Genomic DNA, 27,335 nt, shown 5'->3' with positions numbered 1-27,335 from the left:
GATTTATCCTATTTATTAATAAAATATCACTTCTGTTCATATTTAACTTCTGTGATACTTATACTATTTTCCCATTTTGTGATATTCTCTAACATATTTTATTATTCTTAAAGACAGTTAATTATCATTTCCCTTTCTTTTCCCTTTAAGTGAAAAGCATAAAAAACAAGAATGATATTGTTGAAAAATTCAGGATATATGGTCAGCTTTCTGGGTATTTTTCTATAACACATGTTGTATTTGTTCAAAACTCCTTACTAGGGGCCGGGCATGGTGGCTCATGCCTGTAATCCCAGCACTTTGGGAGGCTGAGGTGGGCAGATCACCCTAGGTCAGGAGTTCGAGACCAGCCTGGCCAACATGGTGAAACCCCGTCTCTACTAAAAATACAAAAAAATTAGCTGGGGGCATGGTGTCCGGCACCTGTAATCCCAGCTACTTGGGAGGCTGAAGCAGGAGAATCACTTGAACCGGGGAGGCAGAGGTTGCAGTGAGCCAAGATCGCGCCACTGCACTCCAGCCTGGGTGATGCAGTGAGACTCTGTCTCCAAAAAAAAAAATCTTCTTACTAGGGTTCTAAATTTTTTTTTTCTATTTGTTAGAAAATTATTTTGTGAATTTCTTTGAGTGGTAGTCCTCAGCTAGTGACCAATGCAATGGATAATGACAATTGCTAAGAATTTGCTCTTTTTAATAGAACAAATCCTGGGATTTACAGACCAAGAAATCTAGATTATAGAACTATACTAGTTTGGGCTCTGTTTCCATAACATGGTTACTAAGAGGTGGCTTAAAAAACCTTTTTCCTACCTTTTATCCCTCCTCAAGCTCTTCTTTTTCCCCTAACTAGGAAGATGGAATTAGAAAATGTTGATAATTCTATTAGATTGTTTCTATTTAGGAGCCTTGTTTGAAAACCACAGATAAATACAATAGCATAGTTCTCTAGCAAACCAATCTCATAGTACCCTTTTATTTCTCAAGTAAAATATTTATTGCCATATTTCTAGAGATGTAGACATGCCTATAGCTAATACAAATTAGTATTTATTGTTCATATTATGTGCCAGGCACTGTGCTAAGTTCTTTTTATGTGTTAATTCAGTTTGTTCATTTCGTAGCTCTCTGAGGTAGGCCGTTTTGTAGTTAAGGAAACTGAGGCTAAAAGGTTAGAAACTTGCAAGACTACAGCTAGTAAATGTAAGTGGGCTAGAGTTTGAACGTCCACAGTCTGACTTCAGAGGCACTTTGCAGTTTTTTGAGATAACCAAATCATTACATTGTAGAAGTCTCTATAATGAATTATGCATATATTTGACTTAACATTCGTTGTTTGTTTTGCAAGGCTTTTATCCATTAATTGGGTGGAAGATTGGGCAAGAAGTCGTATGCTTAGCTGAAAGCAATGCAGGAGACACTGGTACTGCCATAAAATGGGCTCAGCAGTTAGGTAAGTTGTCTTTTAAATGGATTTCACAAGCCAGACCTAAAGAATTCAAGAATGCCACAGGATTGCAGATTAGTAGGAAGCAAATGGATTGTTCAAATGAAACACTAAAATAAAATGACATCTATTAAAAGAAAATATAAAGTATTTTTATGATATCGAAATGGTAAAAGGCTAGGTCTTAAAGACAGGAACCATAAAGAAAAAGAATAATAAGTTTAACTATGTAAAATATTAGTGGGTAAGGAGAGATATGCCATAAGCAAAATAAAAGACAAATTGGTAAAAACAATTTGTAGCATATGTCAGAAAAATTAATAACATGACAAAAATGGGCAAAGGACCGAAGTACAGGTATTTTACGATCAAATGACTATAATGAAATGCTGTTCACGTACGATAATTAAAGAAATGCACATTTTGGGCTGTGGTTCCAGTGTCAGTTCAGTTTTCAGTGCTTTTGCAGTGCTATTTGGATCCGCCCCTCATTTGTGCCACCCAGTGGTCAGTCTGGGGGGTGGTTTGCCTGGAGATTAGTTCTCAAAGCCTTAAGCTTGTTGTTTAGGGTCATATCTTCACATGTGCTGCTCAAGAGTGAGACTAGGAGTTCATAAAAACCTTTATAAGGTAATTTTTCCTGAGCTCCTTTCTCTCAGTAATCTCCCTGGTACCTTTTGACTCTTGGGATCCCCATATTGGTGTTCTGGCTAGAAAGCTGGTGCTTTAGTTTCTCTACTGAACAGCTGCTACTACTTCTACCTCCCTAGCTTAGTGGCAAGAGGGATGAGAGAAGGAGAAAAGGGGGGTCAGAGAGAGAGAGAAGGAAAGAAGGGAAAGAAAGGAAACAAAGAAAGAGAAAGAAGGCTGGGCGCGGTGGCTCACGCCTGTAATCCCAGCACTTTGCGGGGCTGAGGCACGTGGATTACCTGAGGTTGGGAGTTCGAGATCAGCCTGACCAACATGGAGAAACCCTGTCTTTACTAAAAATACAAAATTAGCCGGGCATGGTGGTGTGCGCCTGTAATCCCAGCTACTCTGGAGGCTGAGGCAGGAGAATCACTTGAACCCAGGAGGTGGAGGTTGTGGCGAGCCGAGATCACGCCATTGCACTCCAGCCTGGGCAACAAGAGCAAAACTCCGTCTCAAAAAAAAAAAAGAAAAAAGAAAGAGGGAAAGCAAAAGGGATTTTCTTAACGTCTCATCTTTGAGTTTTGGTTGCCTCTGCTGCTCTGTCTGCTGTCACTGCAGCCACAGGATTGCCAGGGGCAGGCAAGACCAAGGGGAGTGGGCGCACGGGAAGAAGCAAGCAACAGGGATTTCCCCCCATACTCTTAGCTTGCAGTTTTATGTGCCTGTGCTACTGGGCTGCCATTGCCGCTACCATAGGATTGCCTGGGAGAATGAAAAAAATCTAAAGAAAACAAAAAATGAGAATCTCTCCACTCTGTCCTGTAGAGACCCTTGTCTCCTACTGCTCAGACCAGAAAGGAGCTTCTATTGAAGCTCTTTCATGTCTGCACTCAGTGTACAGATCTGAGTCCTTGGGTTTCAGGCTACCTCTGAGTCTAGGCCAGGAATATCAGAGAAAATATAAAAACAGGGAGTCCCCAGACGGCTTTTCCATTTATTCCTCCAAGATTCTTAGTTACATTCAGTGGGGGAGAGAGAATGGAGTGTGCTTACTCTGAAAGACTTTTTATCAATTAGCTTATTTGACAACAGATTAAGTGGAAGATTATTTAGAGAAATTCTTCAAGCAAGGAATGAAACAAACAGTGAGGAATGTGAATAAGATAATCTCTCTTTGTTTTCTGTTTCTTTATCTGTTACCAACAATTTTCCTCAAACCAACTGTCTAGTATGTTTTCCTACATCTTATCTTGTAAAAATTGAACATTTGGACAAGATTCATTAAAAAGTATAGATTTTAAAACCAATTTTTTTAAAGAGATAGGAGTCTCGCTATGTTGCCCAGGCTGGATTCAAACTCCTGGGTTCAAGTGATCCTCCTGCCTTTGCCTTCTGAGTAGCTGGGATTACAGGCACGCCACCATACTTGGCTTAAAACCAGTGTTTTTAACATTAGTTTTTGAAGTGGTAGAGATATTTTGATGTATTATCTGGACATTTTGAACAAATGGATGAAACTTACGGATTTGATAACTGTCATTTTGAGTAAAATTTGTAGTTATTATTGAGTGATCCTCATTAACTTGAGTTTTAATGTAAGTGCTCCTTAAATGTCTTTAGTGAATTTAAGTATATTAATTTAGTTATATAACAAATCATAAAATGATATAAAGTCAACTTAATTAAGGCTCTCTAAAGCCAGCAATATTTATTACGACTGAGTCTTTTCTTCTGATCTTTGCTGTTCAGTCCTACATACTCATTCAGAAGTCACTTTACAAACAAGGATATCCAAATGGCCAGTGAAAAGGTATTTAACTTTATTAGTCAGCAGGGAAATCCAAAATCAAACCACCATGTAATACTACCAAAATAGCTAAATTGAAAAACATAGACAATATCAATTATTGGCAGGAAGATAGGTGACGAACTCTCGTGCCTGCCGCTGGCAGGAGCCTTAAATTGGTAGAGCCACTTTGAAAAACTATTTGGCAGTTATCTGTTAAAGCTGGTTCTAAATGTGAAGACCTTAGAACTGGCCATTCCATTCCTTTGTGTTAATAAACAGAAATGTATACATATGTCCACCAAAAATAATGTACATGAATGTTCATTGGGATCTGTTTCTATTAGCCAAACACTAGGAACTACCCAGATGTATATCACTAATAGAATAAATTGATAAATTGTCTATAGTCACATAATAGAATACTATATAGAGGTGAGAATGAATGGAGTACAACTACATGTAACAGTGTGAATGAATCTCACGAGTACGATGTTTAACAAAAGAAATTTGTATCTTGACCTGGGTGTCAGTTACTTGGATGTATTCACACTGTGAAAACTCATCTAGCTATATACACTTAGGATTTGTGCATTTTTCTGGTCTGTATATCATATACTTCAGTTAAAGTTTACTAAATTAATTGTCTTGGTTTTTTTGTTTGCTTGTTTTTTAAAAATTGACTTTTAATATATCTGTTACTGGCCCCTTATTTAACTTATTAGATGGAGTATTTCAGTTAATTTTCTTGGGTATTATATTACAGGTAGATGATACTTTCATCAGAAACCTAGGATGGCTCTTATCTTTCAGAGGATAATTTTTTAATGCCAAAAATCCTACATAGAATTGATTTTTTAAACAGCCCAAATATCTTTAAAGGAAAAAGCAGCCAGGTGTGGCGGCTCACGCCTGTATTCCCAGCACTTTGGGAGGCTGAGGCGGGCGAATCACCTGAGGTCAGGAGTTCAAGACCAGCCTGACCAACATGGAGAAACCCCATCTCTACTAAAAATACAAAATTAGCTGGGCGTGGTGGCACATGCTTGTAATCCTAGCTACTTGGGAGGCTGAGGCAGGAGAATCGTTTGAACCTGGGAGGTGGAGGTTGCGGTGAGCCGAGATTGCGCCACTGCACTCCAGCCTGGGCAACAAGAGTGAAACTCCGTCTCAAAAAAAAAAAAAAAAAAGAAAAAAAACGTAAGTCCTGCTGCATACAGAGCCTATCTAAGAGGGCCTTCTACCTCCTGTCTCCCTTCTATGGGCCTGGAAACCTATGCAGTGTGAGAATTCAGATAGTACCAGAACAGAATGGTCTTTGTGCTGACCCTTTTAAGTGAGCAATCTTTTACATTATATTCATAATAAATGTTGATGCAGGTAAATACTATCATGTAACATAATTCTGTTTGTGCCTCTCTAACCTCTTCATTTTGTTTTAGGGTTTTTTGTTGTTTGTTTGTTTTTGCAGACCTTTTCACAGATGCTGCTGAGACTGAAAAAATGGCCAAAAGTTTGGAGGATTCTGAAGGAGTTTGTTTTGTTCCATCTTTTAGTGGATTACAGGTATGTATTTTTTAAAGTTAATGGCAATCACAAATATTTTTCTCCTCCTGCCACATCCAAACTTATATATCTACCATTCTGTTACCTTAAAATTTGAGCACTGAACAGAACTAAGATGAAAGGTAGATTTTAGGGCTGAGAAGTTATGCTCTGACCAAGCATGAATTCCATGAGGAAGCAGAGCATCCTGAATGTGGCCCTGCTGGCTTGGCTTGTGCTGGTAGAATTCAGCTGACTTCTGCTTAGAACTGTGTGGAACCTAAGAGTTGGCAGGTTTATCATAGAACTTTTACATAAGACTTAGCATTACTTTATCATGACCAAAAATAGCCATTTCACAGTGGGGGGAATGTATCAGTAAATTTGCATTCTTTACTTAGAGGAAATAAGCCATTGAGAATTAAGATAAATAATGTCAAGGTACATACATCACACACATATGCACACACATGTATATGTATGTGTATATTTTGCACTTGTACATTTGTAAGTTTTAAACTTTTTTTAAAAATCAAAATCTTGGCTGGGCGCGGTGGCTCACGCCTATAATCCCAGCACTTTGGGAGGCCGAGGCGGGTGGATCACAAGGTCAGGAGATCGAGACCATCTTGGCTAACAAGGTGAAACCCCATCTCTACTAAAAATGCAAAAAATTAGCCATGCATAGTGGCACGTGCCTGTAGTCCAAGCTACTCAGGAGGCTGAAGCAGGAGAATTGCTTGAACCTGGGAGGTGGAGGTTGCAGTGAGCCGAGATGCCACTGCACTCCAGCCTGGGTGACAGAGCGAGAGTCCGTCTCAAAAAAAAAAAAAAAAAAAAAAAATCAAAATCTCCTTTCATTAATTGTTGTGGTGGAGTATTGATTACTTTGCTTAATCAAAAAATGAACCTAGGAGAAGTCTTGATTTTGTAACATTTAACTTTGTATTTAATTGAAAGATCTCTGATACTACCTTTAATTTTAGAATATTATTACAAATACTTTTAAAACAACTTTTCAAGTATATTATTATGAAAGTTATATGTCTATCATATACTTCAGTTAAAGTTTACTAAACTTTTTTTTGGGAAAGCTCATACTATTTTTAATCCTCCTCCAAATATTTTTTCCTTTCAAAAAATACAACTTTCTCTTTCTTCTTGCTTATCTCATATTCAGGCAATTAGTTACAAAAGTCCAAAATTTGAGTTTGGGTTTATAATATAGAAGCTGGTAGAAAAAAAAATTAGGTCAGGGTGTTTTAAATCTTTAAAAATATCATACTTCCAAAACTAGATTTTAAAATGAGCATTATTTCAATACCTGTAATATTTTTGTGTACTTTATCCTAAAGGACCGAGAGCTTGTGAATTGATTCCATTGCATCCTCTTCAGGATGATGTGAGGGAACCTCTAAATAGCACCTATCATAGTCCAGAAAGTGAAAATTTTTTATCTAATTGAGATTTCAGGAAAAAGGTTAGATGAATAATTGTCCTCAGCAAGGTAAGGTTTGGTTAGGCAACTACTGGTTCTTTTCTTCTCTCTGAAAAATGTGCTACAGGACTTAGTAGTCACCTTGTCTTAGCAAGTCTGTCTTTGACTTCTCTATCACCTCACATACCTGTAATATAATATAATAATTATATATATTATATAATAATAATAATATAAAGTATATTTTTTTAAGTTTTAAACCCAAAAGATTTAGACAAAACTATCTCAGGTTTGATTTTTAATTTCCTCTTGATAGCAAAATGTCCCTGTCCTGCCATGATTGCAACCTGCCCATATACTGGCAGTAGAGGGCAGTTGGGAGAGGTGGTAGGTTGACCGTAGGTCATGTATTTCCCTGTGTAAAATGAAACTTTAACTGGAAATTGAAAGTTAAACCAAACAGCAATAATGTGTTAGTACTAAACTGTTTGGAAAATAGGAGGGAAGATCACCTATAATCTGCCTATGTGAACAACTAGAGAAAATGAGGGATGGGGCATGAAAGGAAGGAAGGTTTATGTATCTGTGAAACTGCCTTTAGTTTTAGAATATTTTTACAGCTTTAGATAATTGGGATCTGGATGTTGAAGGCCCCTAATAGTCTCATTTTCTCAAAGGAATCTACTGAGAAAGGGGTACTGGGTGAGCTTTGAGGAAAATGGGAAAGTCTAGGACAGCCACTTCAGGGAATGGCAGAAAGGGTGGGAGCCATACACTGGGGGTGGCATCAGTTAGTGCAACCATTATGGCTTTCCTCTAGCAGGGCTCGTGGTTTGGGGAGTGGGATACTGAAATAGGTATTAGAGGCAAGAAACAGTGGTCATTTACCTGGACGTTAGAGTTACTGTGATGATGGCAGTAATAGGATAGACAGAGAAGCTGTTTGTCCACATACTCTTGAGGACTGGTATTGGAAAGCAGTCAGCAACTGACAGCAGTTCTTAGCGTCTTTGGGTTCCTGCTTCTCTCTGTTCTGCTTTTCTCTTTTCATTACCAGCTTTGCTCTGTGTCCTTTCTTCCTCCATAGCTTCTGCTTAATTGTCATCATTTTTCTTACACTTTTTGCTTCTTCACAACTTAGAAATATCACATACAACCTTCCTCTACCTTATGCATCCTTTTAGCTTCAGTTCCCCCATTGATGAGGTCTTTTTCTTCGGGTTTCCTGGTTTTGGTTTTCAGGGCAGAGAATCTGATTGGACCACCTTGTCCTTTTGCGTTTCAGTCAGACACTGAGTCAGCTGTACTCACCCTCTGCAGTTGTGGTGATGGCATTAGGACTAGAGCATGAAACATGGCAGCTTTAGTTAACAGGGCCTGTGGATTCAAGCAGTTTCCTTAGAAGGGGATGAAGCCAGCAAGTCCTGTGATTGCCATCTCTAGTTTTGTGAGTGACTAGGATGTCTGAATGGTGCAGTCTGTGTTCTGGGGCAGGAGACTACTAGTTTTGCCCAGGGCACCAAACAGATTTCAGGCCAGTTAAAGCAGTATTTTCTGTGATATCCTGGAAGAAGTCATATTTATGCAGGAAAAAAACATAGCATATTGCTAGGGACTAATTGAACTGGCCAAATCTGACTAATCTTAGTTTTATGATACTATACCATCTGATATAAACCAGATTTACTATATACGTTTTTACTAATTAAAATCACCAGAAGGTGTTAATAGATTTGAAAAATTAAAATAAAATCTCAGTAGGAGGGAAATCATAGCTATAGCAAAGATAAGATGTAATATAGAATTTCTTAAGTCATTAAGAAAAATATTGTTTGTTCATTTATTCACCAAATGTGTATTGTTCTCCCATGGGGAGCCAGATATAGTGCTAGGCACAAGAGACACACTGGGAGTACATCGGACAAGGTTCCACCCTGTGGTACTTATAGTGTATTGAGGAAGGTGGGGTTTCAACAAACCATCAAGCAGAATATGTGATTATAAACTGTGGTGCATGGTATGATGGGAAGTTACAGGGTTCCATAAAAACAGAGACCTCATCTAGTCTCTGGGGTCCAGAGTTTTCCCTGAGGAAGCCAAACCAAGATTTGGAAGGGAGTAAGAATTAATTAGGAGAAAGGGTGGTAGAAGGTGTTTCAGGTAAAGGGATGATGTGTCAAAACCCTGAAGCTAGAAGGTGCTTTTTCTGAGGATCATAATTTCCTGACAGCGCTGGATGTCCTTGAAATGACCATTTTGATGTGTTAGCGCTCTTGTGAGACTCTTGTCTGTTTCCTTGTGAGACTGTGAGACTGCAAGCTCCAGCAGGGATCTTTGTTTTTCATGTTTTTTGTTTTTGTTTTTGTTTTTGTTTTTGTTTTGAGACGGAGTCTTGCTCTGTTGCCCAGGCTAGAGTGCAGTGGCGCCATCTCCGCTCGCTGCAAGCTCCGCCTCCCGGGTTCACGCCATTCTCCTGCCTCAGCCTCCCGAGCAGCTGGGACTACAGGCGCCCGCCACCATGTCTGGCTAATTTTTTGTATTTTTAGTAGAGACGGGGTTTCACCATGTTGGCCAGGCTGGTTTCGAACTCCTGACTCAAGTGGTCCACCTTTGTCGGCCTCCCAAAGTGCTAGGATTACAGGTGTGAGCCACCCTGCCTGGCCTGTTTTTCATCTTTGTGTCCCAGAATTGCCTTACATTTCTGGAGATACAAAGATGAATAGAAACCTCATCTGATTAATACATACTTCCAGCTCAACATTTTGGCTCTTTTGAGAACATGTTAGGCTGGATTATTTCTGATATTAGGCAGTAAGGCTATTAAGCTAAGAGAGAAGAGTGTAGTGGTGTTTTTTTTTTTTTTTTAGACCCTGTCTCACTCTGTCACCTAGGCTGGAGTGCAGTAACGCGATCACGGCTCATTGCAGCCTCAAACCCCTGGGCACAAGCAATCCTTCCACCTCAGCCTCCCAAGTAGCTGTAACTACAGGTGTGTATCACACCCAGCTAATATTTAAAGTTTTTTGTAAAGGTGGTATCTTGCTTTGTTGCCCAGGATAGTGTTGAATTCCTGGGCTGAAGCAATCCTCCCTCCTTGGCCTCCCAGAGTGCTAGGATTACAGGTGTGAGCCACTGCACCTGGCCAGAGTATAGTTTTAATGTCTGACAACATATTTGATTTAAGTTATGACACTAAAAAGTACATTTTTGTAGAAAGCTATTCTACATAGTAAAAAGTAGAAAGCTATTCTACATATTAAACAATTTTAGTGTAAAAACTTTATAGCTGGAGAAGGGGGATTGCTGTGATTGCTCTTCATTTTCCACATTTATAAAGCTAAGCATTTAATAATTTGTTACTATATGCTTCAGTTCCTCTTTCTGACATAAATGCAAACAGAAGCTAAGTACAGTAACTATGACTCAATATCGCTTAAATGCTGTTAAAAAGTTATCCCAATATTTACCATAATCTTTTATTTTAAAATTATTTAACCATAGCATTATTTTCTTCTAACGTGGCTATGTTGTTGTTGTATAGTATTTCCTCAAGTCCGTAGATGTAATTTAGAATAATAATAATATATTCTTGTTATCTCTTACTGTAGGCTCCATTAAATGACCCCTGGGCATGTGCCTCTTTTATGGGTTTGAAGCCTTCTACCAGTAAATACCATCTTGTACGAGCAATATTGGAGTCAATAGCTTTCAGGTATGAAAACCTGCCCTAAACTTCCCCTTCCCCATAGAATATTGCCATGTCTTTCATTAATTTGCTACTAAATGGAAAATTTCTTAATTTTAATTAAATTCTTTGTATTTTTGGCTTATTTGATACTATATATTATGTAATATGTTCTTCTTGCTAATTTCCATGGTATCTTTCTTATTTTTTCTTATATTTAATGTACCAACACCACTCAGACTTGATATCTGAAAATTGAAGGATTTTTTTAAAAAATTCAATTTCTTAAGCATGCAAGATTCAAAATTTGGATTTTCAAAGGTTTAGTATCCTTATTCATGAAAGATAATTCCAAGTAATAATGCTTCTGTTGTACCCCAAAATTGAGTCATCAGAATTATTCTTCTGCATATTTCCCTGTAATCTTTTTGTTATGAGACAGGTGTTAATTATTAAAATTAAGAATGATGCTGTCATGAATATGGGATGTTTGTAACATTTAAAATAAAATTTTCTGTGATTACAAAGTAATTGTTTTTATATTTGATGAATTCTATTAGATTTTACTTATGGTTTGTCATCTTAATAGCTATCTATTAAATAGATGCTTGTTTTAAATTTTTCTTTGTAGAATGGTAATAGATAAAATTTAGTTGTAAAATATAAATTATGCCTTCTTACATGAAGGCAAAAAAAACACAAGGACCTGCGCTTCTTGCTTATTTGAGTATCTGTTATACAGTTTCCATTTAGCACAATTTATTTCTTTAATATTTTGTTTTGTACATTTTATAAATATCAAATAAATAAAACTATAGTTTGTATTTTTCAAGATCAGAATAAAGTAGTGAATTATTATGATATGAATTTCTTATAAATAGTTATCTTGTTTTTTAACTAGAAACAAACAGTTATATGAGATGATGAAGAAAGAGATTCATATTCCTGTAAGAAAAATCCGGTATGTAAAGTTTATTTCTAATAGACTTAATTAGAAATTAGAAGTAAGTGGTAGCTGCTATGAGCTACCACTCATTTCTTTTTTAGATCCTGAATAATTCATCTTTATGATTATTGAGGATTTCAAAAATAATTTCTGCTTAGCTCCTTCACAACAAAATTCTTTTTTTTTTAATTTGTATTTTTATCGAGACAGAGTCTTGCTGTGTCACTCAGGCTGGAGTGCAGTGGCATGATCTCGGCTCACTGCAACCTCTACTGCCTGGGTTCAAGTGATTCTCATGCCTCACTATCCCGAGTAGTTGTGACTACAGACATGCACCACCACGCCCAGCTAATTTTTTTGTATTTTTAGTAATGATGGGGTTTCGCCATGTTGGCCAGGGTGGTATTGAACTCCTGACCTCAGGTGATCCGCCCTCTTCAGCCTCCCACAGTGCTGGGATTACAGGTGTGAGCCAACGCGCCCAGCTACAACAAAATTCTTGGTCATAGGAATTCAGAGAGGAAAGGAGAGCTAATTGTGGATTTATGGAGAATATAATACAATATCAAATTTGGGTGCATCTTGGCACCCATATGTGTAGTATATCAATTTTTAAAATCTCTTTTTTGGGTGTATATCCTTTGGGCATGTAAGCATCAAACTTCTCGACTTTCTTTTCTGTAATATCTAAGTGAATTTTTATGTTGCCTTAGTTTATTATACCTGGCTTGTTTTGAACTAGTCCTAAGACAAACAAGGACAGGTGAGAAAATTGGTGGCAGAAATAAGGAAAATGTTTAAAGATTACCCAGTAAGGTTCTCTGTCATTAGGTTAATGCTAAGTGATTTAATTTTAGAATTAAAAAGTAAAATTTATAAAATAAAATCAAGGATTTCAGGAAAAAAATGTGGCCCACTGAAAAAGAATGATACTTTTGTTGTAGTAATTCATCTTACATATTTTGTTCCCCACAGGGCAGATGGAGGAGTTTGTAAGAATGGTTTTGTCATGCAGATGACTTCAGACCTGATTAATGAGAATATAGACAGACCTGCCGACATTGACATGTCATGCCTGGGTGCAGCTTCTCTAGCTGGCCTTGCTGTTGGTATGTGTGAAATTTATAAGAATGAGAGTTTTCTTGCAAACTCTTCCTTACAGATAGCATTTCTCCTCTCAAATTACAAAATTCTAGAGAGTCTGGAAAGCCTTGGCGTCCATTAAACTCCATACACATATGCATATTACTCACAAAATATCCTGTGACCTCCTCTGTTGGTGAGTCTGGTTGCACCTCTTCTATCCTCACCTCACCCCTTCAGTCAGAAGTATGAGACAAGAACAGTTAATTCTCAGCTGCGTCAGTCTCTAGCAACAGACAGTCTCTGGGTAAACTTTCTGGATAGATAGTGTTAAAGAAAAAAATTATTCAGTGACACTTATTAAAGAACAATAAGGTGAGCCAGGTGCAGTGGCTCATGCCTGTAATCCCAGCACTTTGGGAGGCTGAAGCGGGTGGATCACCTGAGGTCAAGAGTTCAAGACCAGCTTGGCTAACATGGCAAAACCCTTTCTGGACTAAAAGTTCAAAAATTAGCTGAGCATGGTGGCACATGCCTGTAATCCCAACTACTTGGGAGGCTGAGACAGGAGAATTGCTTGAACCTGGGAAGGCGAAGGTTGCAGTGAGCCGAGATGGTGCCACTGCATTCCATCCTGGGTGACAGAGCAAGACTCTGTCTCAAAAAAAAAAAAAAAAAAAAGAACAGTAAGGTGGGCTTTATTCTGGAGGACTATCAAGAATAGGTATAGGGACTACTTCAGTGGGATCTTATGGTGGGAGAGAGAATTTAGGCTCAACTTTGAATACAATAAGGAAAAGTGAGAAATTATAGCCAAAGAGCAGAGTGAGAGTCAGTGGATGGAAAACTACTAAGAGGAAACATTGAGGTAAGGGGAAATTCTTGCTAACCAACCTAATAACATTCTCAGGAAGGCAGGCCAGGGTGATCAGATATCATCTGGAGGATACTGGAGGATGAGATATCGAGGTTGATCAGAAATTGAGGATGGGCTACACTAATTTAGCAGTATTCTTGCTCAAATTAGATAATGCAGAGATGACCATGGAAGTCCAAAAGTTGAGGCCTTGAGGCCTAGTTGGAAAAGAGCTTGGAGGAGCCTGAGTGGAGTTTGGTCAAGGAGGAAACTTTGTCAGTAGGTTTGCCTATGGCATTAGAAACCACTCCATTCTTTTATTTATTGAACAACGTTTGTGGAGCACCTGCTACATGACAATCACTGCTGGCAATAAAGGGATTAAAAGCCATAGTCTCTGATTCCTGGTGGGAGGAGACAGGTAAGTCAAGTGATTATTAAGTTTGTCTGATAAAGCCAGTGAACAGTGACAGTGTTAATAAGCAAGTGGTCTAGGCTTCCCAGAGGAGATCACATATGGTTCAATTTTGAAGGGGCTAGCAGAGAGTCAGGTGAGGAGAGGGTAAGAGATGGTTGGCTCAATATCCCTATTGCAACTTGTGCAAAGGCATTCATCAATGATGGGAAGTACTGTTATGGTGAGAGCAAGAAGGGAGTGGGAGAGGTACATAGAGGTGTAGTTGTGGTGACTCCTCATAAAGAGGAGTTCGGACCTGATCCTGAAGGCACTGGAGAGCCACTAAAGAATTTTAACCGGGGGTGGGGGGGTGGGGACCATAGAAAGATCTGCATTTGAACAGATCGCTTTGACAATTAGTGAAAAGATCAGTGAGGAGGAATAAGAATGAAAGTAGGCATGTCAATTTAAAGGGCCCCCTAGAAAGCAGGATGATGCCTTAGGATACTCAGAGTATTTTAATGTGTTTCTTTCTGGGGGATGCTTGGTACAAAATAAGATATTTTACATTTAAAAGTTTTAGGCTAATAGTACATTAAAGTTACAAAAAGCCTAAAATCTTGGTAAATTCGGCTTAAACTTGATTCTACTAAAAATCTGGTAATTTTGAATAAAATTGAAAGTTACTTTCATTTGTTCATTGATTAACGTTTGATTGAAGTTGAAGAAAATAAACTTTCCCTTAATCAATCCCATTTGCAAATTTGAACTCCTTCATATTCCAACTCCTGTAAATTTAGTATGTTTGATTTTCCTCTTATTACTTTCACGTGCCTGATTGAGCAAACTTAGAACTGTAACAAGGTAAATCACGAATACTTAAACAACAAACAAATTGAATAAATTAAGCTATAATTATAGTATATCAAGGTCTCATAAGCATTTTTATACTTATGTTAATCAAATTCTTCTACACTTTTCACCTTATAAGACTAAATAAGTCAGATTCTCTTGAACATTTAAAATGCTTTAAGTAACAAACACATGCAGGGTTTTTGTTTTGTTTTGTTTTGTTTTGTTTTGTTTGAGATGGAGTCTCCCTCTGTTGCCTAGGCTGGAGTGCAATGGCGCAATCTCAGCTCACTGAAACCTCCTCCTCCCAGGTTCAAGCGATTCACCTGCCTCAGCCTCCCAAGTAGCTGGGATTGCAGGCACCCGCCACCATGCCCAGCTAATTTTTGTATTTTTAGTAGAGATGGGGTTTCGCCATGTTGGCCAGGCTAGTGTCAAACTCCTGACCTCAGGTGATCCACTCGCTTTGGCATCCCAAAGTGCTGGGATCACAGGCGTGAGCCTCTGCGCCCAGCCCCACATGCAGGTTATTTTTATACATAACACAGTGACTTGAGTTTTATCTACATCATTATATTTAATTTCAGATATTTGCTTCTGTCTCAGAAATGTGAGACTATGTATATCCTCTGTATTTTATAAATTTACCCAGAAATTGGATTTGCTCTATACATACTTAATAAAATGTCTTAAAATATATATGTCTTAAAATGTAAACAATAAATTCTGGAAATGAGGATTTTAAGAAACACATTTATTTTCCTGACTAGATTTATCTAACTATAGTATACTGATGAAAACTATGTTTTTCTTTTAAAAACTTGTCTACATTAATACCTTTATTTATTTTTAATTAAAAATTTTTTTTTTTTGAGATGGAGTCTCACTCTGTAGCCCAAGCTGGAGTGCAGTGGTGCGATCTCGGGTCATTGCAACCTCCGCCTCCTGGGCTCAAGTGATTCTCGTGCTTCAGCCTCCTAAGTAGCTGAGACTATAGGCGCGTGCCACCACGCCCAGCTAATTTTTTATATTTTAGTAGAGACAGGGTTTCACCATATTGCCCAAGGTGATCTCAAACTCCTGACCTCAGATGATCTGCCCGCCTCGGCTTCCCAAAGTGCTGGGATTACAGGCATGAGCCACCACACCTGGCCTACATTAATACCTTTAAACATAGATGGTCTAAAATGTTGACTGTAAATAAAAAGAATATGACCTGACAAAATTTTAGAAAGGAGAATTTAATGTGTCAGTTTTATTGGTAAGAAAAAATGTACTTCATGAAGATTTGTAGACTTTTGGTACTTCAAAAGAGGTGTGATAGACCTCTCAGTAGGTGAAATGTGCCAAGCTTACTAATAAGATACCTGTATCATTTCAGACTACTTATGATCTTAGTTATAAATGTTCTCACCTGGTGCTGTGGCTCACACCTGTAATCCCAACACTTTGCGGGGCTGAGGAGGGCGGATCATTTGAGGCCAGGAGTTTGAGACCAGCCTGGCCAACATGGCGAAACCACGTCTCTACTAAAAGTACAAAAAATTAGCCGGGCGTGGTGGCACGTGCCTATGGTCCGAGCTACTCGAGAGGCCCAGGCAGGATAATTGCTTGAACCCGGGAGGTGGAGGTTGCAGTGAGCTGAGATCGCACCACTCTACTCCAGCCTGGGTGACAGAAAGAGACTCTGTCTCAAAAAAAAAAAGTTCTCTTGCTTTTTATTATATATCATATGATCCTTCCTTCAAAGAGCAGTCTATGCTAGAACTACAAAATTATCTTAAACTGGAATTTAAATAAATTATATAAAAGGCTATAGTTTGAAAGAGAAACTATTACATTAATCTCCAACTTTGAATTTTATGCATATTCCAGAAAGTTGACATTTACCTTAAGCTGTAAGACAAAAATCTTAATTTGTCTTCATTTATTGTAATTGCATAAAAAAGAAAATATCCTATTTCTTTCTCTTTTTTTTTCTTCTGTTTTTCTATTTTTAGAGACAGGGTCTTTCTCTGTTACTCAGGCTGGAGTGCAGTGATATAATCATAGCTCACTGCAGCCTTGAATTCCTAAGCAAGTGGTCTCCCCTCCTCAGTCTCCCAAAGCACTGGGATTGCAGGCATGAACCACTGTGCCTGGCCAGAAAATATACTGTTTTTCACTTGGGATTGTTTTAATAATAGCAAGTTATGAAATTAAATGATGGCATAGGGTAGCTGCTTTAGAAGTGATGTGGTGTCCCACCACACAGAAACTGAGCTGAAAGTTAGAAACCAAAAGACTTGAAAATACTGGTATAATTATTTTCAGGAATGATCGATCTAACAAAATTCAAAAGTAACAAAGTATTTTGGATTGTTTTAAAAATAGTTTTTGTTTACCTTTCTACCAGCAACTCGTATAGGTTTTTGGATAAACTTTATTGGACTCATGATTTGCCTTAAAATTTGAGGATAATTTTTTTATCTATAGGGTTTTGGACTGACAAGGAGGAACTAAAGAAACTGAGACAAAGTGAAGTGGTTTTCAAGCCACAGAAGAAATGTCAAGAATATGAAATGAGTCTGGAAAACTGGGCCAAAGCAGTGAAACGCTCCATGAATTGGTATAACAAGACATAACACTAAATGAAATGATCAAAACCATAGGTAGCTGGTTTATGTGACGTGCAGATGAGATGAAGCTCAGGGATAACCCATATGACAATGACTAAGAGGAGAAAATTTTAAATAAGCTTCATAACTTAAGAAGCATTGCTTTTAAAAAAACAAAACGGAACAAAAAACTCTTATTTTTTTCCCCTAAACCATGGTAAGGCAGCAATACCTCAAAACTTTATATCTTCTATTTTGTAGCAAATTCCAAAGGACATTAGTCATTTCCAACCACATTTTGACAGTTATGGGTCCTCTTCCTTTTTATACTGGGTCAGTGGTACATAGGAACATAATGATTTACCATCCAAGCTAATAGTTCTGGGTCAAGTACCATGCACATATTGTTCCAAAATTATGTGAAACGTATTTCTTTAATTCTTTAAGTGGGCTATTTGAAGTACATATAGCTAAAAAGAAAGAATAACTGAGAAAATGTGGAATTTTGAAACATTAATATTTTATGTTTAAAGCCATAATTTCCTAATATTATATCCAAATATGAGCTTAATATGTCCCTCTCAGATAAGCTTATGAGATAGTTAATGCTTTCCTTTACTGGTCTTAAAGACACTGCCTTAATTTTTCCTTGTTCAACCAAAATCTGAGCATTCTTTCTATGTTGAAAACACTGAAAAACTAATTTTAGTTAATGAACTAGAAAGAATATTGATTTTTAAGAAACAGAAAAATACTACTTATTTTCCTTCTCAAATAACGTTTCTTTCAAAAACTTCTGGCTGAAGTATAACATGCTGGTAGTTAACATAAATCTTGTCTTTCTCTTGTTCTTTATCTTTCTTTGTTATTTAGATGCTTGTATAAATGTCTTTTGTTTTTATTAAGTGCCTAATTGACAGAGCTTAATTTGAAGAAGTGCCCTAATTTATTGACCACTTAAGAATTGCCTTTATTGGGGTATTTTATTTGTTCCTGCGTCTTTTTGATGTTTGTTCAGTCTACTCATCCCTGTGAGTATGTGTGGGGGACAGCTGATAGAAGGGAGGAGAGTGTGTCTATGCTCAGGATTGCCCTTTAGCCACTCAGCCAGAGATCCACAGGGAGCAACAAGGACAGTTTCACATGCTTAGACTTTCTTGGAAGAAACAGTGAGGAGGAGTAAGTCGTGAGTAGTGTCAAGCTGGATGTAGAATTGTCCTAAGGCAGTTGACCCCACCTTCCAACATGTTTTCACTTTATTTGCCCCTCCCTACATTTGGGTTAGGTTCCATTTGGATTTGCAGCAATAATGACTTTATTTCTCTCTTGGTCAGGATTTGGCACATAAAATCCTTTTATTATAGAACTAGCTATTTTAGTTACATAGTAATGTAACTAATGGAGAGATTTATAGAGAATTTTGTTTTTGCTGTCATATATGTCCATTTTGGAGACAGATATGATAGAACTAGAAATTAAGTTGCATTTCTGCAAGTGCCATTTGAATGAACTTCAAGTATCTTCTTAATTATTAAATTTTCTGATGAAGGCATTGTAACAAATATATAGTATTATTAAATCTAATTAATATTTGGAAATATTAATAAATAGGTATTTTATTTACTGTAAAAAGTCAAACTTCATTATGTAGATAAATCTTATTCTTTTCATTCTTTCCCCTGTTTACATCCTTTTTACAAAGCTTAGTCACCAATTAAAGCTTTCCTATCAAAATCACATGGAAGCTGCTCTGTTGTTTTACTGTTACACATTCTGTTTCTCAGTGGGTGTAATTTTTTTTTCTTTTTCTTTTTTTGTAGAGACAGGGTCTTGCTGTGTTGCCCAGGGTAGTCTTTAATTCCTGGCCTCAAGTGATCCTCCCACCTTGGCCTCCCAAAGTGCTGGGATTGCAGCCGTGAACCACTGCACCCAGCCAATGGGTGTAATTTCATAGGAAATAATTCTTTTTGTCAGAATGTACTGAATTGTAATATTAATACCTGAAAATTTGTTAGTTCACTTCTTTTCCACGTTCTTCTTTCCCAACATATAACCACAAAATAAAGGATAAATACTTTGGGCTGTGTGCAGTGGCTCATGCCTGTAATCCCAGCACTTTGGCAGGCTGAAGTGGGCGGATCATTTGAGGTCAGGAGTCCAACCTGGTCAAACACGGTGAAACCCTGTCTCCACTAAAAATACAAAAATTAGCTGGATGTGGTGGTGCAAGCCTGTAATCCCAGCTACTCGGGAGGCTGAGGCAGGAGAATTGCTTGAATCTGGGGGGTGGAAGTTGCAGTGAGCCAAGATCATGCCACTGCACTGTAGCCTGGGCAACAGAGCGACACTGCGTCTCAAAAAAAAAAAAAAAGGATCAATACTTTTCAGATAATGTTGGAAAGTAACTTTGAATGTCCCTCATCGGAATTGAGCATCTCCTCAAGTGTCAGTGGCTATTTTTTTCTTCTGTGAATCTAAAAACTAATATTTTATTTTTAATATTTGTGGCCATTTTTAGTGATAAGACTTTAATAAATATTTTTGGACTTAACTAAAATCAGAAACATGACCACATTTGCTTTTGTGGTTGCAGAAACAGTTGATAAGATCAATTGAGCAACAAAATTGTCCTTTCTTTTTTTTTTTTTTTTTTGAGACATTGTCATGCTCTGTTGCCCAGGCTGGAGTGCAGTGGCATGATCTCGGCTCACTGCAACCTCCCTCTCCTGGGCTCAAGCAGTCCTCCTGCCTCAGCCTCCCAAGTAGCTGGGATTTCAGGTATACGTCACTACGCCCAGCTGATTTTTGTATTTTTAGTAGAGACAGGGTTTTACCATGTTGGCCAGGCTGGTCTCAAACTCCTGACCTTGTGACCCACCCACCTCGGCCTCCCAAAGTGCTAGGATTACAGGCGTGAGCCACCATGCCTGGCTTGTCCTTTCTGTCTTCCAAGTTTGTTTTTCATTTGTATGCTAATATTTGAAGTTTAGAAAAATTTGTGCTACTTCTCAGCATGTTTTATTTTCCCATTATAGATCTATCAGATATTTTTAGAAGGTCTGCAACTGTCTGATAAAGGAAGAGAATGTTCCTGTTCAATCTATCTTAAAGTGCTACTAATTGCTTTTATACTATAGACATACTGATTTTTTCATCTTTTTTATCCAACCATGGCATGGTTTCCTAATCTCAGCATTGACATTTTGGACTGGATAAATCTTTATTTTGGGATGCTATGCTGTACTTTATAGGATGTTTAGCAATATCCCTGACCTCTGCCCTCTAGCTACAAGTACCATCCCCCTAGTTGTTATGGCCAAAAATGTCTTCAAACATTGCCATTCTGAGAGGCAAAATTGCCCCCAGTTGAGAGCCACTGATACAGGCTGTTAGAAGAAAATCGAAGACTCAGTGAATATAGTGTCATACTCCTTTTCTTTCTGCCTCATTTTACCTTAGGAAATGGTTGTTAGCAAAAAAATTAGTTAATCGTATCTTGAAATAAATAGGGTATCTATTTTGCTGATTAATAAAGAAAAAATAAATCTCAGCTGGGCACAGTGGCTCACACCTGTAATCCTAGCACTTTGGGAGGCCAAGGCAGGCGGATCACTTCAGCTCAGGAGTTTGAGACCAGCCTGGGCAACCTGGCGAATCCCTATCTCTACAAAAAATACACAAATTAGCTGGGTGTGGTGACACACACATATAGTCCCAGCTAATTAGGGGGCTGAGGTGGGAAGATCACTTGAGCTCCAGGAGGTGGAGGCTGCAGTGAGCCAAGTTGGTGTCACTGTACTCTAGCCTGGGTGGCAAAGTGAGACCCTGTCTCAATCAATCAATCAATCAATCAATCAATATCTCATGCTGTAATTGTCTTCTGATGTTTTCATCCACCCAGCCCCACCTCTGCAGCCTTAATTACTGGAGTAGGTCCATGATTTCAGTGTAGGGTTAATGTATTCTGCAGATCATCTTTGATTTGACCTGCTTTTTTGCTTCCTTTTTATCTCTGAACAAAGGAGATCATCATTCTCTTTAATCTGCCTTCTGTGTAAATCTCTACCAGACTGGAAGCTCCCTGAAAGCAGAAACTGTCTGCTTCCCCAGAACTTAGCACTGTGCTTTCATGTATGTGGGATAAATTTTTACTTTGTTAGTGCAACTTTGTTTGTACACGTTATCCTTGATATTACATACATTTGTTGATGGGGGCAATTTATATTTGTTGTGAGTAAAATACTTTTTTGTTGGATTAAGAAGAACTATACTCTTCCCAGCACTTTGGGAGGCCAAGGAGGACGGATTACCTGAGGTTAGTAGCTTGAGACCAGCCTGACCAACATGGAGAAACCCCATCTCTATTAAAACTACAAAAAAATTAGCTGTGCGTTGTGGCACATGCCTGTAATCCCAGCTAGTCAGGAGGCTGAGGCAGGAGAACCGCTTGAACCCCTGAGGCAGAGGTTGCGGTTGAGCCGAGATCGCGCCATTGCACTCCAGCCTGGGCAACAAGAGTTAAACTCCATTTCAAAAAAACAAAAACAAAAACAAAAACAAAAAAACAAAAGAAGAACTACTCTGTAGTGAGAGCTAGAATCCTCATGTTGTTTATTTAAAATTTTTGGCCAAGTACAGTGGCTCATGCCTGTAATCCCAGCACTTTGGGAGGCTGAGGCCAGAGGATCACTTGAAGCCAGGAGTTCAGTTACAGCTTGGGCAGCAAAGTGAGACCTTGTCTCTACAAAAAAATTTTTTTTAAATTAGCCAGGTGTGGTGGTATGCCCCTGTAGTCCCAGCTACTCAGGAAACCGAAGCAGGAGAATCGCTTGAACACAGGAGTTTGAGGGTGCTATGAGCTATGATTGTGCCACTGCACTCCAGCCTGGGCAACAGGGCAAGGCCCTGTCTTAATAAAATAAAATAAAATTCTTAATATGTTTATATATTTGAAAAACTATTTGTGTAGAGACACATGTCTGTAAATACACATAGATATATTAACTTTTTAAGCTTTAATTGAAGCCTTTCTCTTCACAGGTTTTATATATTTGACTGCAGATGACTAACAGATTGAATTTTAAGAGTGCGAAACACTCTGGTGCTATAGGGAAGGAACTTCATAAATAGCCCCTCCTGTAAGGGACCAGTCTTTAATTTAAAACAGTCCAGCCCAGGAATCTTGCAAGAATTTTGTAATTATTTGAGGAGAGATGTAGATATACCCTGGAGTTCTTTGACTTTAAGTTATTCTAGAGTCATCCCAGAGATGGCCTAGAAGACTTGAATGTACCCCAAAGGATTCTGAATCCCTTTGGGAAATTTAGACTATGATTTTCAGTAAGAATTAAAAGCCCCAGGATAAGCGTGGTGGTTCACACCTGTAATCCCAGCAATTTGTGAGGCCAAGGCGGGAGGATCGCTTGAGCTCAGGAGTTCGAGACCAGCCTAGGCAACATAGTGAGACCCCACCCATCTCAATTTAAAAAAAGAGAGAAAAAGGCCAGGTGTAGTGGCTCACGCCTGTAATCCCAGCACTTTGGGAGGCCAAGGCGGGTGGATCACCTGAGGTCAGGAGTTCAAGACCAGCCTGATCAATATGGTGAAACCCCATCTCTACTAAAAATACAAAAATTAGCCAGTCCTGATGGCATGTGCCTGTGGTCCCAGCGACTTGGGAGGCTGAGACAGGAGAATTGCTTGAACCCGGGACGTGGAGGTTGCAGTGAGCCGAGATTGGGCCACTGCATTCCAGCCTGGGTGAGAGAGCGAGACTCTGTCTCAAAAAAAAAAAAGAGAGAGAGAGAGAGAGAGAGAGAAAGCCCCAAACATACCTTGGGCCTTTACAACCTACTTGGTCCCAGAATCGTCTTATTGTAAACCCAAAGCCAGGTCTTCTGGTTCGAACCAGTCAAAATGGGTAATCTAAAAAAGTTAAATAGATGATTCAAAATCGTGTTGGTGGTTTTTTCTTTTTAAATCCCCTTTCCAAGTAAAAGGAATCTTTTTTTTTTTTTTAAGTTTTGAAGCCTCATAGCCATAAATATTTTGGCACCAGCATCTATTGGCACCTAAGTCATTGGCTGTATCATATTCCCATGGGACCCTTGTTCCTAGAGGAATGCAGGAATGATCTTGGAGTGGGAAGGACAGAAACAGGTGCTTGCAAAATCAGATATTTCTGAAATTCTCTGTTATTCTATTTCTACTGTCTTTCCCCACTTTACTATAAATTTGATCTGTTATAAAATGGCTGTGTTTAGATAGATACCCGTGATGTTTAGGAAACAAATGATATAGAGACTCCCATTTAAATGAATCTTATCTTTATAAGAAACAGCCAAACTGTTTTCCAGACTGGCTATACCATCTTACATTCCCACCAGGAATGTATGAGTGATCCAGTTTCTCTGCATGCTCGCCAGCATTTGGTGTTGTCACTATTTCTTATTTCAACCATTCTGTTTATCCTTTTCAGTGAAATATCTGTTCATATCTTTTGCCCATTTGCCAATTGAGGCAGGAGGATCACTTGAGCCCAGGAGTTCGAGGCTGCAGTGAGATATGATCACTAAATGTTTGCTTAATGAGCCATATCTTTAAATATCTTTTTTAAAGTTTTTAAAAGTCAGTCCAGTGGTTTATGTGATTATGTGGGATTTTTTAAATCTTTCCAGGCAAAATGTGTATAGCATTTTGAACATATTTACACTGTACTGAGCCCAAGAGTTCTCATATTCTTTCTTTGCTCATTATAGAGTATGGTACTAATACTGTATAATAGTAAATTTTCAAAGATACCTTTATTTAGAATGTTAGAGTATACAGATATATACTTTGTACATAGTTATCATAATGTTTCTAACCTTTTTATTTAAAGCAGGCTGATTTGTGTAAAGGTTTCAGAATGATTTTGTTAATAAGTTATTAGAAACTTTCCTATTTGTACAAGATGGTAAATGTAGATTCCAATTTGTATGCCTCAGTAAATTCATAATCTTATTTCTCTGATGTGAGCCACTGTGCCTGGCCTTCTGTGATGCTCTTAATGAATTTTGCAGTTTTATTAAATTGTCATTGAGAACCTCATAAATCATTGTTAAGATCTATACAAAAAATCAAGGATCCACAGTAATAGAATATTTTTCATCTGCATATGAATTTTTCCCTTCCCTTTTTGTCTACTTTTAGATTTAAAAAAAATTACCAGGACATTCTTATTAAATACTATTACCTGTTTTGGTTTCTGCACATTAAGAAAGTCACAGAGAAGCCAGACACAGTGGCATGCTCTTCTATTCCCAGCTACTCAGGAGGCTGAGGCTGGAGAATCACTTGAGCCCAGGAGTTTGAGGATATCCTGGGCAACATGGTGAAACTTGGCAAAAACAAAAACAAGGCCGGGCATGGTGGCTCACACGTGTAGTCCCAGCACTTTGGGAGGCCACGGCTGGCGGATCACGAGGTCAGGAGATCGAGACCATCCTGGCTAACATGGTGAAACCCTGTCTCTACTAAAAATACAAAAAATTAGCCAGGCGTGGTGGCGGGTGCCTGTACTCCCAGCTACTCGGGAGGCTGAGGCAAGAGAATGGCATGAACCCAGGAGGCGGAGCTTGCAGTGAGCTGAGATCGCGCCACTGCACTCCTGCCTGGGTGACAGAGTGAGACTCCATCTCAAAAAAAAAAAACAAAAACAACAACAACAACAACAAAAAACAACCAGAGAAATAGCACTTGTTAACTACAATTGTGACTCTAGGTAAACTTGGGCCTTAATATGGTTAGACAAGAAGGGTTTTAGGTAACTTGCCTTTTTAGATCCTATTTAGGCTTATTAGTCTATATTCTACATTCTTGCACGATGGAAATTACTAGAGAAGTGGGATAATTCTTTGTTGTGGGGAAAATAAAATTTGTTGTGAAAATATACTGTATTTTAAAATATTTAGAAAGATTATAAATAACTGGAGAAAAGATAATTTCATATACTAATATGATGGAATTAGCCTAGCAGATGTTAAAAATCCTTTCTGAAAATTATAATCTAAAATTATTTGGGAAATTACAATGGAACTGAATAATCTGTACGTTGGTATATTAAAGCCATTTTTATATTGTGTTTCTCTGTTATTTGCTTTGAGTTCACACACATATTTAGTGACATCTATATGGGTGGAAGATTCAGTCAGATAATCTGGATTCCATTCCTTGACCATAGTGGAGTCTCTCATGAGCCCAGGGTACTATTTCATAGTAGAAGATGTATGAACATTCATAGTAGAAGAATGATGAACATTGAGTTGTTTGAAGAAAGGAAGAGGTTTTGGTTTTGTCATATGTTGTTTTTTTTTCCTGTTCAAAGTAATATTAGTCTATTGAAGAGGACAAGGAACGGGGGACATTATGGAGATATGTGGAGCTGACGTTGCTGAAGTTTCTCTGGTTATTTTGTAGCAATAATTTTGAAGAATGGGTTTTATTTAAAAGAAATTGTAGAAAAAAAGAAATGATGATAATATTGAGTATTCGTGTATTTTTTGCTCTTTAGAAAGAAACAGAACCCATTAAGAGGTGGAGCTTAGGCTGGAAGTGGTGGCTCATGCCTGTAATCCTAGCAGTTTGGGAGGCCAGGGTGGGAGGATCACTTGAGGTCAGGAGTTCAAGACCTGCCTGGCCAACATGGTGAAACTCTGTCACTACTAAAAATACAAAAATTATTCAGGCATGATGGCGCATGCCTGTAATCCCAGCTACTCGGGAGGCTGAGGCTGGAGAATCGCTTGAACCTGGGAGGCTGAGGTTGCAGTGAGCCAAGATCACGCCATTGCATTCCATCCTGAGGCATGAGAGGGAAACCCTGTCTCAAAAAAAAAAAAAAAAAAAAAAGGAGATTATAAGGCAAATACATTAGATTTGCCAAATTTTCCTTCCCCCTTGCCCACCACTTGAGCAAGAACATTTGCTACCAGATCCCAGGGAGTTCTCATATCCTTTCACCCAGCCCATGGGAGCCCTTGTCTTCTCTCTTCCAGAAAGCCATTATTTCTATTAGCATCCCAATCTTCATCACCAAACACCGTCAAGAACTGAGAAGAGTCTGAAATTTTACTCTACTTTGGAAGCTAACAAGTTAGCCTCCCACAGTTTTATAGATACAGGTTGAGTATCCCTTATCTGAAGTGCTGGGGATCGGAAGTATTTCGGGTTTAAGATTTTTTTTTTGATTTTGGAATATTTTTATTATATATACTTTCCAATTGAGCATCCAAAATCTGAAAACTTGAAATCTGATACCCAGATCTGAGCATTTCCTTCACACATCATGTCAGTGCTTAAAAAGCCTCACCAGCTTGGGCAACATAGGAAAATCTTGTTACTAAAAAAAAAAATAAATAAGAAAATCAGCCAGGCATGATGGTCATGCCTGTAGTTCCAGCTACTTGGAAGACTGAGGCCCGAGGATCACTTGAACCCAGGAGTTCACTGTAAGATATGATCATGTCACCACACTCCAGTCTGGGCAAGCAACATGCTGTCTCTAGTAATAAAAATGTTTTAATTAAAAATGTCAGATTTAAGAGCATTTAGGATTTCAGAGTTTTGGATTTGGGGTGCTCAACCTGTACTGATGACAAAAGATATGAGACTCCTGCCTCAGGGATTAAAGACTTTATTACTCATAACATAGCAAGCATCAATTATCTTCATATTTACGTTGGTTCTCCTTGCCTCCTAAGTCCTGTGAGGAGCATTTCAGGTTAATCCTGTGAATGCAGTGGTTTGTGGTAAAGCTGAAGAACCTCAGGCTCAGGAAACCTGAATCTTTCTTAATAGATTGGAAGTAAACCTCTCTGATGCTTGTCCCAGAGGAAAATTATTATCATGATGTTTGATCGTTGGACAAAACTGCCCTCTGCTGTGGAGGGAGACACCATCTCTGTCTTACAACAAAAGTCAGTGTCTGTGCTTGTAACACAAACAGAAATGAGAAACCTATTTAGAATTATCTCCCAATAATAAATTCATTATTTTGATTGTGGCAATGGTTTCATGGGTATATGCATACATCA

The 27,335-nt window shown here is 38.3% G+C and overlaps 1 protein-coding gene across 5 annotated transcripts in view, besides 1 other annotated feature; it reads left to right on the top strand.

Moving 5' to 3' along the window:
- The window catches only part of GK5 (glycerol kinase 5), a 68,059-nt gene extending 42,675 nt beyond the window's left edge, over window positions 1-25,384 (top strand). For 4 of the 5 annotated variants that reach the window (NR_033289.2, NM_001039547.3, XM_024453436.2 and 1 more), the window contains 6 exons: window positions 1,346-1,450; window positions 5,335-5,429; window positions 10,455-10,558; window positions 11,433-11,492; window positions 12,453-12,586; window positions 17,141-25,384. Coding sequence is in view for 4 of the 5 variants with exons in the window: in NM_001039547.3 (NP_001034636.1) it covers window positions 1,346-1,450; window positions 5,335-5,429; window positions 10,455-10,558; window positions 11,433-11,492; window positions 12,453-12,586; window positions 17,141-17,289 (647 nt within the window). In the remaining variant the exon portion in view is untranslated. Of the gene's footprint in view, window positions 1-1,345; window positions 1,451-5,305; window positions 5,430-10,454; window positions 10,559-11,432; window positions 11,493-12,452; window positions 12,587-17,140 lie in introns of those variants that run through there. The other variant, XM_047447897.1, reaches the window with a different exon arrangement.
- Window positions 17,887-18,622: an enhancer, noted in NCBI's record as "NANOG hESC enhancer chr3:141883131-141883866 (GRCh37/hg19 assembly coordinates)". NCBI's record gives its function as "activates a minimal SCP1, AML or CMV promoter by ChIP-STARR-seq in naive H9 embryonic stem cells {active_cell/tissue: H9 hESC(naive)}" and the evidence as "EXISTENCE:reporter gene assay evidence [ECO:0000049][PMID:30033119]".
- Window positions 25,385-27,335: the final 1,951 nt, after the last annotated feature.

The sequence above is a fragment of the Homo sapiens genome, chromosome 3, assembly GCF_000001405.40.
Source record: "Homo sapiens chromosome 3, GRCh38.p14 Primary Assembly".
Taxonomy (NCBI): domain Eukaryota; kingdom Metazoa; phylum Chordata; class Mammalia; order Primates; family Hominidae; genus Homo; species Homo sapiens.
This window is presented reverse-complemented; position numbering and strand designations above follow the sequence as displayed.